Source organism: Homo sapiens, chromosome 6 (assembly GCF_000001405.40).
Source record: "Homo sapiens chromosome 6, GRCh38.p14 Primary Assembly".
NCBI classification, from domain to species: domain Eukaryota; kingdom Metazoa; phylum Chordata; class Mammalia; order Primates; family Hominidae; genus Homo; species Homo sapiens.
The window spans coordinates 70,342,349-70,354,432 of NC_000006.12; the positions used below are offsets into that span (position 1 = coordinate 70,342,349).

General features: G+C 41.5%; 1 long non-coding RNA gene across 3 annotated transcripts in view; it reads right to left on the reverse strand.

Annotated features, from left to right (window-relative positions):
* Positions 1-3,521: 3,521 nt before the first annotated feature.
* The window catches only part of LOC105377848 (uncharacterized), a 35,578-nt gene continuing 27,015 nt past the window's right edge, over positions 3,522-12,084 (reverse strand). For 2 of the 3 annotated variants that reach the window (XR_942670.2, XR_942671.2), the window contains exons 2-4: positions 9,295-9,378; positions 8,541-8,585; positions 3,522-5,921 (exon numbers count right to left, since the gene is read on the reverse strand). This is a non-coding gene — a long non-coding RNA (uncharacterized LOC105377848). Of the gene's footprint in view, positions 5,922-7,944; positions 8,012-8,540; positions 8,586-9,294; positions 9,379-12,084 lie in introns of all 3 variants that reach the window. The other variant, XR_942673.1, reaches the window with a different exon arrangement.

Here is a 12,084-nt window from a genome sequence, read left to right on the forward strand (position 1 = left end):
TTCTTTTGAGCCCTCCAAACTGATCCAACCTCTGCCTGTTACCCAGTTCCAAAGTTTCTTCCACATTTTGGGTTATCTTTACGGCAGCACCCCACTCTCTGAGCTACCAATTTACTGTATTAGTCCATTTTCATGCTGCTATAAAGAACTCCCTGTGACTGGGTAATTTATTAAGGAAAGAGGTTTAATTAACTCACAATTCTGCATGGCTGGGGAGGTCTCAGGAAACTTAAAATCATGGCAGAAGGAGAAGCAAACACTTCCTTCTTCCCATGGCAGCAGGAGAGAGAAGTGCAGAGTGAAGTGGGGAAAAACCCCTTATAAAGTGATCAGATCTCATGAGAACTTACTCACTATCATGAGAACAGCATGAGGGAACAACCTCCATGATCTAATCACCTCCCATGAGGGTCCCTCCCCCAACACATAGGGGTTACAATTCGGATTACAATTCAAGATGAGATTTTGGGTGGGGACACAGCCAAACCATATCACTATCCATCAGCATGGAATGTTTATTCATTCGTTTGTGTCATTTCTTATTTCTTCAAGCAGTGTTTGTAATTCTCCTCTTGAAGATCTTTCACCTCCCTGGTTAGCTGTATTACTAGGTATTTTATTCTTTTTGTGGCAATTGTAAATGGGATTGCTTTCCTGATTTGGCTCTTGGCTTGGATGTTGTTGGTGTATGAGAATGCTACTGACTTTTATACATTGATTTTATATCCTGAAACTTTGCTGAAGTTGTTTCTAAGATCAAGGAGCTTTTGGGTAGAGACTAGGGGCTTTTCAAGATATAAAATCATATTGTCTGTAAACAGAGATAGCTTGACTTCCTCTCTTCTTATTTGGATACCTTTTATTTATTTCTCCTGACTAAATTGCTCTGGCCAGAACTTCCAGTACTATGTTGAATAAGAGGACTGAGAGAGAACATCCTTGTCTTGTTCCAGTTTTCAAAAGGAATGCTTCCAGCTTTTGCCCATTCAATATGATGTTGGTTGGGGGTTTGCTGTTGATGGCTCTTAGCATTTTGAAGTATGTTCCTTCAACACCTAGTTTATTGAGAGTTTTTAACATAAAGCGATGTTGGATTTTATCAAAAGCCTTTTCTGCATCTATTGAGATAATCATGGTTTTTGGTTTTTGTTCTGTTTATGCTGATTAGTCACATTTATTGATTTGCATATGTTAATCACCCTTGCATCCCAGGGATAAAGCCTACTTGATAATGGTGGTTAGGTTTTTGATGTACTGTTGGATTCAGTTTTCTAGTGTTTTATTGAGAATTTTTGCATCTATGTTCATCAAGAATATTGGCGTGAAGTTTTCTCTTTTTGTTGTGTCTCTGCCAGGTTTTGGTATCAGGATGATGCTGATCTCATAGAATGAGTTTTTTGGAATAGTTTCAGTAGGAATAGTACTAGCTCTTCTTTACACATCTGGTAAAATTTGGCTGCATCTGGTCCTGGACATTTTTTGGTTGGTAGGCTTTTTATTACTGCTTCCATTTTGAAACTCATTACTGGTCTGTTCAGGGATTCAATTTCTTCCTGGTTCAGTCTTCAGAGGTTGTCTATGTCCAGGAATTTGTCGATTCTTCTGGATTTTCTAGTTTGTGTGCATAGAGGTGTTTATAGTGGTCTCTGAGGGTTTTTGTATTTCTGCAGGATAAGTGATAACGTCCCCTTTGTCATTTCTAATTGTTTTTATTTGGATCTTCGCTCTTTTTTTCATTATTATTCTGGATACTAGTCTATTTTTCTTATTAGTTTTTTCAAAGAACGAACTCCTGGATTCATTGTTTTTTTGTATGGTTTTTCACATTTCCTTCAATTCAGCTCTGATTTTGGTTATTTCTTGTCTTTTGCTAGCTTTGGGGTTGGTTTGCTCTTATTTCTGTAGTTCCTGTAGTTGTAATGTTACGTTGTTAATTTTAGATCTTTCTAACTTTTTGATGTGAGTGTTTAGTGCTATAAACTTCCCTCATAACACTGCCTTAGCTGTGTCTGAGAGATTCTGGTACGTTGTATCTCTGTTCTCATTTATTTAAAAAATTTATTGATGTCTGACCTAATTTTACTGTTTATCCAAAAGTCATTCAGGAGCAGATTGTTCAATTTCCATGTAATTGTATACTTTTGAGTGATTTTCTTAGTATTTATTTCTATTTTTATTGCACTATGGTCTGAGTGTGTGGTTGGTATGATTTTGGGTTTTTATTTTAATTTGCTGAGGATAGTTTTATTTCCAATCGCGTAGTCTATTTTAGAGTATGTGTCATGTTCAGGTGAGAATGTATAGTCTATTGTTTTTGGGTGGAGAGTTCTGTGGATGTCTATCAGGTCATTTGATCAAGTGCCAACTTCACATCCTGAATATCTTTGTTAATTTTCTGCCTTTATGACCTGTCTAATACTGTGATAGGGGAACTGGAGTCTACCACTATTATAGTCTGTGAATGTAAGTCTCTCCATAGGTCTCTAACAACTTGCTTTATGAGTCTGTATGCTCCTGTATTGGGTGCATATATATTTAGGATAGTTAGGTCTTCTTGCAGAATTGAACCCTTTACCATTATGTAATGCCCTTCTTTTCTTTCTTTATCTTTGTTGGTTTAAAGTCTGTTTTGTCTGAAATTAGGATAGCAACTCCTGCTTTTTTCTGTTTTCCATTTGCTTAGTATATTTTTCTCCATCCTTTTATTTTCAGCATATAGGTGTCTGCATGTGAAATGGGTCTCCTGGAGACCATATATCATTGGGCCTTGCTTCTTTATCCAGCTTGCCACTCTGTGCCCTTTAATTGAGGCATTTAGCCCATTTACATTCAAGGTCACTATTGATATATGTGGATTTGATCCTGTCATTGTGCTGTTAGCTGGTTACTACACAGGCTTGTTTGTGTGGTTGCTTTATAATGTCACTGGTCTGTGTACTTAAGTGTATTTTTGTAGTGGCTGGTAATGGTCTTTTCTTTCCATATTTAGTACTCCTTTTAGGACCTCTCATAAAGTAGGCCTGGTGGTAACCAATTCCCTCAGCATTTGCTTGTCTGAGAAGAATCTTACTTCTCCTTCACTTATGAAGCTTAGTTTGGTTGGATATCAAATTCTTCATTGAAAATTATTTTATTTAAGAATGCTGAATATAGGCCCCCAATCTCTTCTGGCGTGTAGGGTTTCTGCTGAAAGGTCTGCTGTTAGTTTAACAAGATTCTTTTGGTAGGTGACCTGCCCCTTCTCTCTAGCTGCCTTTAACATTTTTTCTATCATTTCAACCTTGGAGAATCTGATGATTATGTGTCTTGGGGATGGTCTTCTCATGTAGTAGCTCACAGGAGTTTTCTGAATTCCCTGAATTTGAATGTTGGCCTCTCTAACAAGGTTGGGATAGCCTAGCTAGACGATATCCTGAAATATGTTTTCCAAGTTGTTTGCTTTCTCCCCATCTCTTTCAGGGATGCCAATGAGTCACAGGTTTGGTCTCTTTACATAATCTCATATTACTCAAAGGTTTTGTTCATTCTTTTTTATTCTTTTTTCTTGTTTTTGTCTGACTGAGTTATTTCAGAGAGCTGGTCTTCAAGCACTGAGATGCTTTTCTCAGCTTGGTCTAGTCTTCTGTTAATAATTGTGATTGCATTATGAAATTCTTGTCATGTGTTTTTCAGCTCTATCTGATCAATTTGGTTCTTTTTTATAATGGCCATTTCACCTATCAGTTCCTGTATCATTTTATTATAATCCTTACATTTCTTGGATTGGGTTTTTACTTTTTCCTGAATCTCAATGATCTTTCTTCCTATTCATATTCTGAATTCTATTTCCATCATTTCCATCAGCAAGCCTAGTTAAGAATGCTTGCTGGAGAACTAGTGCATTCATTTGGAGGAAAGAAGACACTCTGGCTTTTTGAGTTGCCAGAGTTCTTACACTGGTTCTTTCTCAACTGTGTGCACTGGTGTTCCTTTAACTGCAATGTATATTGAGTACAGCCAATTGACTTCTTTTCTGGATGTTTTCAGAGGCCCAAGTCTTTGTGCAGGGTCTTTATTTGTAGCTGAATTCTTGTCACTGGTTTCACAAGAGGGTATATTAGCTAAGTGTTATTGGTGTTGAAGTTTTGGACTGTCATCCAATAGGTGGTGCTTAAGTGTAATGGCTGGTAGGTAGGCTCTTGCTTAGCCACATGATTTCTCTGTATTTCCTCAGGATTGCAGCTGGGCTCCCTCTCAGTGCTGTGAATGGGTGGTCTCCTCTCCCACTTGAGTGCTGGCTGCATATCTCGGCTTGGCACTCCTGGGCTGCACATTACAATTCTGGGGTGAGTTCAAACTTTCTGTACCCTCTCAAGCTTGGAGGCAGCAGGTGAAGGGACCTTAGCAGTGGCTGTGGCAGAGTGTCTTTCACTTGTCTTTTGACAAGAGGCTCACACCTCTTTCTGATGTGGAGCCACTATCAATCGGTGTGATCAGCCCAGGATGGGGCCACCACACTTTGGACCCAAGGGCAAGGGGAGGCCCTGGTAGTGATGAGCAGGGAGAGCAGGTGGGTCCTGGAGGGATACAGACTGGCCTCTTCTCCTTAGGGCAACTTCAGCTTACCAAAGGTGTGGTTGAAGCACTCAGGGTCTCTGCTCCTTCCTTAGTCTGAGGGAAGCAAGAGAAGTACCACAGCAGCGGCAGTGGCAAAGGGCCTTTCAGTTATCTCTGGGAATTCTACCTCAGAGAAGCAGAACCACTGCCAATGGGAGTATTCAGCCAGGGGGTGGGTTGGCTGCACTGCTGGCATGAGTTGGGCACTCCACTTGGTGAAGAGGGGGTGGAAGGCTCACAGGGAGGAGAGACTGGGCTTTTCTTCCGATGGTGACTGTGGTGTGCTGAAAGTGCAGGTGAAGCCCTCAGGCTCTTTGTTTCTTCCCCAGATGGAGGGCAGCAGAGGCAGAACCATTGCTATGGCAGAGGGGTGTTGGTTCCCTCTGGGAGCCCCTCCTCTGGGAAACTCAGAGCCACTCCCAGTGGGCATCCTTAGCTGTGGTTGGGGCGACTGATCTGCAGTCCTGACCCAGGGGCCCTACCTGGTGAAGAGTTGAGGGTGGGGGTTCACAGAGAAGAGAGACAGGACTCTGTATGGGGGCTACACAGTGCAGGAGGTGCTAGCACAGGAACTAAGCCCTTTGTTCCTTCCTTAGCCTGAGGGTGGTTAGGGTGGTACCACTACAGGTGCAATGGTGGAGGGGTTGTGGGTTGACTCCAGGATTTCCTCCTTAGACAAATGCAGAGCTGCTGCTGACTGAAGTGCCCAGGCAGGGCAGAGTAGTTATGCGGGAGTCCCAGGTCAGGAGGCCCTGCCCAGTGAGGAGAAGCAGGGACAGGGACCAAGTGAAGAACAGTCCAGATGAGAGGTGAAGCCAGCTGGACTTCCTGGGTCAAGTGGGGATTTGAAGAACTTTTCTGTCTTACAAGAGGATTGTAAAATGCACCAATCTGCATTCTGTAGTTAGGATTGTAAAATACACCAATCAGCGCTCTGTAGCTAGCTAGAGGTTTGTAAAATAGACCAATCAGCACTCTGTAAAATGGACCAATCAGCAGGACAAGGGCGGGGACAAATAAGGGAATACAAGCTGGCCACCCCAGCCAGCAGCGGCACCCACTCAGGTCCCCTTCCATGCTGTGGAAGCTTTGTCCTTTCACTCTTCACAATAAATCTTGCTGCTGCTCACTCTTTGGGTCCATGCCATCTTTAAGAGCTATAACACTCACTGCGAAGGTCCACGGCTCCATTCTTGAAGTCAGCGAGACCACGAATGAACCCATGGGAAGGAACCAACTCCAGACACACAGACACTTTTCTGTGAAGCAGTTGTGCTGCACTGGGGATCCATGCCAGTTCCTAATCACCGTGCACCCTCCAGCACCTGAGGGCAAAAGCAGCAAGGGCTGTGAGACAGCAAAAACGGCAGCCATCTTCTCCTTCTGGGAGCTCTGTCCCAGGGGAGTGCAAAGCTGGTACCAGCCCTAGAGCCCTGGTAGGGGGTGGCTGGAGTCCCAGGTCAGGAGGCCCCGACCAGTGACGAGAAGCGGTATTGGGGACCCATGTGGAAAACAGTCCGGCCACTTTTCCATGTGGTGGCTGCACTGTGCTAGAGTCCGTGCTAGTCCCTAATCACCAAGCACTTTCCAGAGCCTGAAGGCAAGAGCAGCAAGGGCTGTGAGACAGCCAAGATGGCAGCCTGCCTTGCCCCCTTGGAGCTTCCTCCCAGGAAGTGCAGAAGATTATATTTCAAATGACTACACAATAGTGATAATGCAAGGTGGGGGAACTGCTTCATTTCAACAGTGTTATTCTCCTTAGAAGAAAAGCCTGTAAATATATGTATCAGAAAAAGTTTCTAATTTTTAGAGTAGGTTTTTAATACTCTTTTATATCTCTTGTCTCCTTGAAAATATTTTAAACACTCAGTAGTCCCAAGTGGAAAGTTATTAGGAGTCACGTAGTTCTTGCAAAGGAAGTCACAGATTGAAAATAAGGAGAATCCCGCCAGGTGCAGTGGCTCACGCGTGTAATCCCAGCACTTTGAGAGGCCTAGGCGGATGGATCACTTGATGTCAGGAGTTTGAGACCAGCCTGAACAAGATGGTGAAACCCCGTCTCTACTAAAAATACAAAAAATTAGCAGGGTGTGGTGGTGGGTGCCTGTAATCCCAGCTACTGGGGAGGCTGAGGCCAGAGAATGGCTTGAACCCAAGAGGCGGAGGTTGCAGTGAGCCAAGATCACGTGACTGCACTCCAGCCTGGGCGACAAAGTGAGACTCCATTTCAATTAAAAAAAAAAAATAGTAAATACATAAATAATAAACTAAAGACAGGCCAGGCGCAGTGGCTCACGCCTGTAATCCCAGCACTTTGGGAGACCAAGGCAGAAAGATCATGAGGTCAGGAGTTCGAGACCAGCCTGGCCAATATAGTGAAACCCTGTCTCTACTAAAAATACAAAAATTAGCTGGGCATGGTGGCACGTGCCTCTAGTCTCAGATACTCGGCAGGCTGAGGCAGAAGAATTACTTGAACCCAGGAGGCAGAGGTTGCAGTGAGCCGAGATCTCACCGCTGCACTCCAGCCTGGGCAACAGAGTGAGACTGTCTCAATAATAATAATAATAATAATAATCATCATCATCATCATCCTGGCGCGGTGGCTCATACCTGTAATCCCAACACTTTGGGAGGCCGAGGCGGGTGGATCACGAGGTCAGGAGTTCAAGACCAGCCTGGCCAAGATGGTGAAATCCCGTCTCTACTAAAAATACAAAAATTAGCCAGGCGTGGTGGCGCATGCCTGTAGTTCCAGCTACTCAGGAGGCTGAGGCAGGAGAATCACTTGAACCCAGGAGGCAGAGGTTGCGATGAGCCAAGATCGCACCATTGCACTCCAGCCTGGGCAACAAGAGCGAAACTCCTTCTTAAAAGAATAATAATAATAAATAAACTAAGGAGAATCCCCCAAACTAAGGAAAGGGACCAGAAATGTTTCTTTCTTGAAATTTATGGTAAACATAATAAAAATAATGAGATGAGCCATCAGTAAAATAAGTTCACCCCAAATGATAATTAGTTCAAGTATTGTCAAAAAATTCAAGTGTTTCCCAATTTTTTTCCTGGAGTTCACATTATTTCACTAAAATTTCACCAGAAAAACATTAGTATAGAATATTGAGAGCAGTACTGTTCAATACAACTTTCTGTGATGATAGAAGTGCACTGTAATCTGTACTGTTCAATATGGTACCTACTAGCTACATATGGGTATTGAGCACTTGAATGTAGCTAGCAACTAAAGAGCTAAATTTCTTTAAAATGTTAATTAATTTAAATTTAAATTATAGCATGTGGCTAGTAGCTACCATTTCGAACAATGCTATTTAATAGCTGAATACTCACAGAGTTGGGCTCAAACTGCTGAGGTTCAAACTCTGGTTTCACATTTCACTACTTTGTTATTCTTCTCCTGTTGTTGGGTTGATGTCAAGATTCAGTGTGTTAAATTATATGTTAAATAAATCTTAGCAATTGTTATTATTATATACCAGTTACACAATTTACCAGCCACATGCTCAAGTTACCTAACCTCACAAAACCAATTTCACCCACTAATAATACTATTGTATGGGATTTTTATGAGAATTAAATGAACTAATGTGTAAAATTGCTTAGTATATGCCCATCACATGGAAGCACTCAATACCTGTTAAATGCTATTATTAAATTATTATCAAAACAATGTTGAAACAAATTTTTGTAACTTGCAGGAAATACTGGGAAAATATACTGAAGTTATAATGATTTATAGGTGAGCAAATAATTTTGAGTCAAGTCAAATTTGTTCAACAGTAAAATTTTAAAAATTGCAAACCTTGAGTGATTCCATCAAGATTTATAGAGCACGTGGGATTCATCTTAATTAACACAGTCTGCCAACTTTTCTTTTCCTCAGCTGAAGCCTTAACAAAAATAAATCTATATGAATATGTATTTACCTTGTCTTTCTTATTATGGTTTTACTCTCTTCTTATTTTCGGTACCTGGTAGCACAAGAAAGTTAGTTAGAACAAATATATCACTGCCGGGCGCGGTGGCTCACACCTGTAATCCCAGCACTTTCGGAGGCCGAGGCGGGCAGATCACGAGGTCAGGAGATCGAGATCACCCTGGCTAACATGGTGAGACCCCGTCTCTAGTAAAAAATACAAAAAATTAGCTGGGCATGGAGGCACGTGCCTGTAATCCCAGCTACTCGGGAGGCTGAGGCAGGAAAATCGCTTGAACCCAGGAGGCAGAGGTTGCAGTGAGCCGAGATGGTGCCACTGCACTCCAGCCTGGCGACAGAGCAAGACTCCATCTCAAAAAAAAAAAAAAAAAAAAAAAAGAACAAATATATCACTGCAGGAAATCCTGTTTCCAATTATTTCAAGATATGCTGAGCCCATCAATGGTATACCCAAGCTCTAAAAACAACATATTTATAGCCACAATTTTACACATTTCAAATGATTTCTTAATGTGAAATTCAAATAAACTAGTAACTCCTACATACATATTAACTCCTTTTCTATTTATATCTTAAATGTGGTTCCAAATGAAAAACATGTAGAATCTAAGAGTTTGGGGAATTTGTTAACATGTTACAAAAATGTTTCTGCAAATTTACAGAAATTTATGAAGTCTGGAAAGTCTGAATTAGACTGCTGTTGGTGGTGACTTAAAACGATTTTATTTTATAAATGGACTTACTGTGCTCTTTTCATCATTTTTCTGGCATCTTAACAGCAGACAAGGAAAGTTCTTGTTTTTCCAGCAGCGTCTGCTTGGTAAAGTCTAAGTAGGTCAGAGGAAGAAGCAAAACGTTTTTATTTCAGCGAGAAATTAAAAACTCAGAACCTACTTTATATTTAAAGTTGCTTTCACTAGTGTAGTTGCCTAAAAGCAAGCAAGTAGCAGGTCCTTGCTCCCAGATGCCTGCTCGCAGATCATGAAAAGAAAACAAACCTTCAGGGTTTGAAGTGTAAATTTTCTGGAATATTTTGTACTAAATTGCCAATGTGATATCAAAGACATGGCGAAGTGTAGTTACTCTGCCATGGCTGCCCCATCAGCAGGCTCCCTTTAATGAGCAGTTAGTTCTAATTAATAGCTTACCTCTGGCAGAGAATGTAATTTCACTTTGGGTCATTTTCAAGCACAGACTAGAGTAAGAGTAAGGCAGTCAAAGAAAGAAGGAGAGAAATGGTATGAGGGTTGGAATTATATTTAGAGACAGCAGGAAGATGATCACTATCTGGTTTTCCCAAATCTTCACAAATTGGATTACAGTGTCTGGAGCTGTCTTTCAGAAGGGCACAGATTACATTGTGCAGAATTATCTGCAAGGGATAATTCTTCTGTTGATCTGAACTTTCAGCTAACGCCAGTGTCTGATGGTAAAGATTTTGATAGTGACATTTAAACACTTAGTATGCTAACATGTATAACCCAGCTGGTAACTGAAGTTTCCCTATTCCTTGAGTTGTAGCTAAAATTGCCCTGATCTGTGCAAGTCCAAAGCCCATCCTAGGACTCAGATGATTTCCACATCTACAAGTGTGTCTTTAATTCACTAGGCATCAATTTTAACAAAAAATCCAAGCCTTTTATCAACTTTCAATTCCCCCCCAAATAAAAGTCCACTCCCAGAGAACACTCATGATTAATAGAACCGACTGAGGTTTCAGTGGTGGGGTACCTATATAAGGAAAGGTCACCTCTCACCTCATTCCACAAACAACTTTAAAAAATTATCATTACCTTCTTGTGCTTTCAAGTCATCTGCAGCAACTGCCACCAGGCAAGGTGGGCCTGTAGGCTCGAGGTGACTAGGGGACACTGACAAAAGAGACCCTGCCACAGGGTGAGAAGCAAATGACAAGTGGCCCCAGGTGAGACTTATGACTTCCCAATAGCACACTAACCAGTGCTCAAGAGTCTTAAATCTCTGAAACCTCTGCCTTCAACATGGAATCTGGGCCCAAACTGTTGGTGGCAGATTACAGTGCACTTCTATTGCCACAGAAAGTTTTATTGAACAGTACTGCTGTAAAGATTCTACACTAATGTTTTCCTGATGAAATTTAATGCAATAATGTGAACTCCAGGAAGAAATTTGCAGCATATGATAGGAAATGTAGGTATGCCACCCCTTACGAATGATAGGAAAACTAAACAGTATGTGTTTTGGTAAGCCAAAAGACACACTCCCCACTTCCCTGATTTGTTCTACACTGTCCCAGATAACCATGGCATAATAAAGAAAAGTCAGTCCCATGTAAGATTAAATGGCGTTCTGGGATAGACTTGTTACCAAGAAGTAAGTACCAGCACGTAAAAATATTAAGGACTACCTCTTTAGCAAAAACATAAATAAGAAAAATTGGCCAGGTGCAACGTGGCTCACACCTGTAATCCCAGCACTTGGGGAGGCTGAGGCTGGAGAATTGCTTGAGCCCAGGAGTTTGAGACCATCCTGAGACCCCATTTCCTCAAAAAATTTTTAAAAATTAGCCGGGCATAGTGGCACACACCTGTAGTTCCAGCTATTCAGGGAGCTGAGGCAAGAGGATTGCTTGAGCCTAGAGAAGGTCAAGGCTGTAGTGAGTCATGATGGCACCACTGCATTCCAGCCTGGGCAACAGAGCAAAAAAAAAAAAAAAAAAAAATAGAAAGAGGGAGGGAAGGAGGAAAGGAAGGAAGGAAAGAAGGAAGGAAGGAAGGAAGGAAGGCCAGCCAAGAGGGAGGCCAACTGTCTCTCTCTCTCTCTCACGCACACACACGCACACACACACATGCACATACACACACCCACACACACACACAGAGCATTACAAAGGGGACAATGGGAAGAAATTAACCAGAAAATTACCTGACCACAATCTTTATTTCACCACCAAAAACAAAATGAAAAACAAAACAAAAGAAACCTTTCAGTTATCACTATGGCCTAGGGCCAATTTCTTGATAACTGGAATAAATTTTGTTAATTTAAGATTTAGCTTCCTGCTTAAACATGTTGTGTGAACTACTAGATACTGGCTTGTTTTAAATTCTAAATTACTTTTATTTCTCCCTGTGGAAGGGATTTGAAATGAGTCCCATTTAGAAAGCAAGCCATCAGGGCAGGAAAATGATGATGAACACACTAACATCAGTATATATACTTAAGAGAGCCTTGTAACTTTGACTTAAGTGCTAAACTAAATATGGTATCTTATCACATTTCTGTACTGGTGAGCCAACACCACAGAAAAGCAAACTGAAATGAATGAGATTCTTTGATTAATTTTCTAGTAAAAGTTTAAATATCACACTTCAAAGTAATTTAAATTATAGCAGATGGAAATGGCAGCATCCTTAAATAGATTCCTGCACACTCTTCCAGGATTCAGAAGTCTTCTATTTAGGTATCACAGCCTATCTTAATATGATTTACATGTTGGTGTCTGCAACTTCTATCAAGCTGCCGGGTTAGAGGGCAGGGGCTGCCCTATCTCC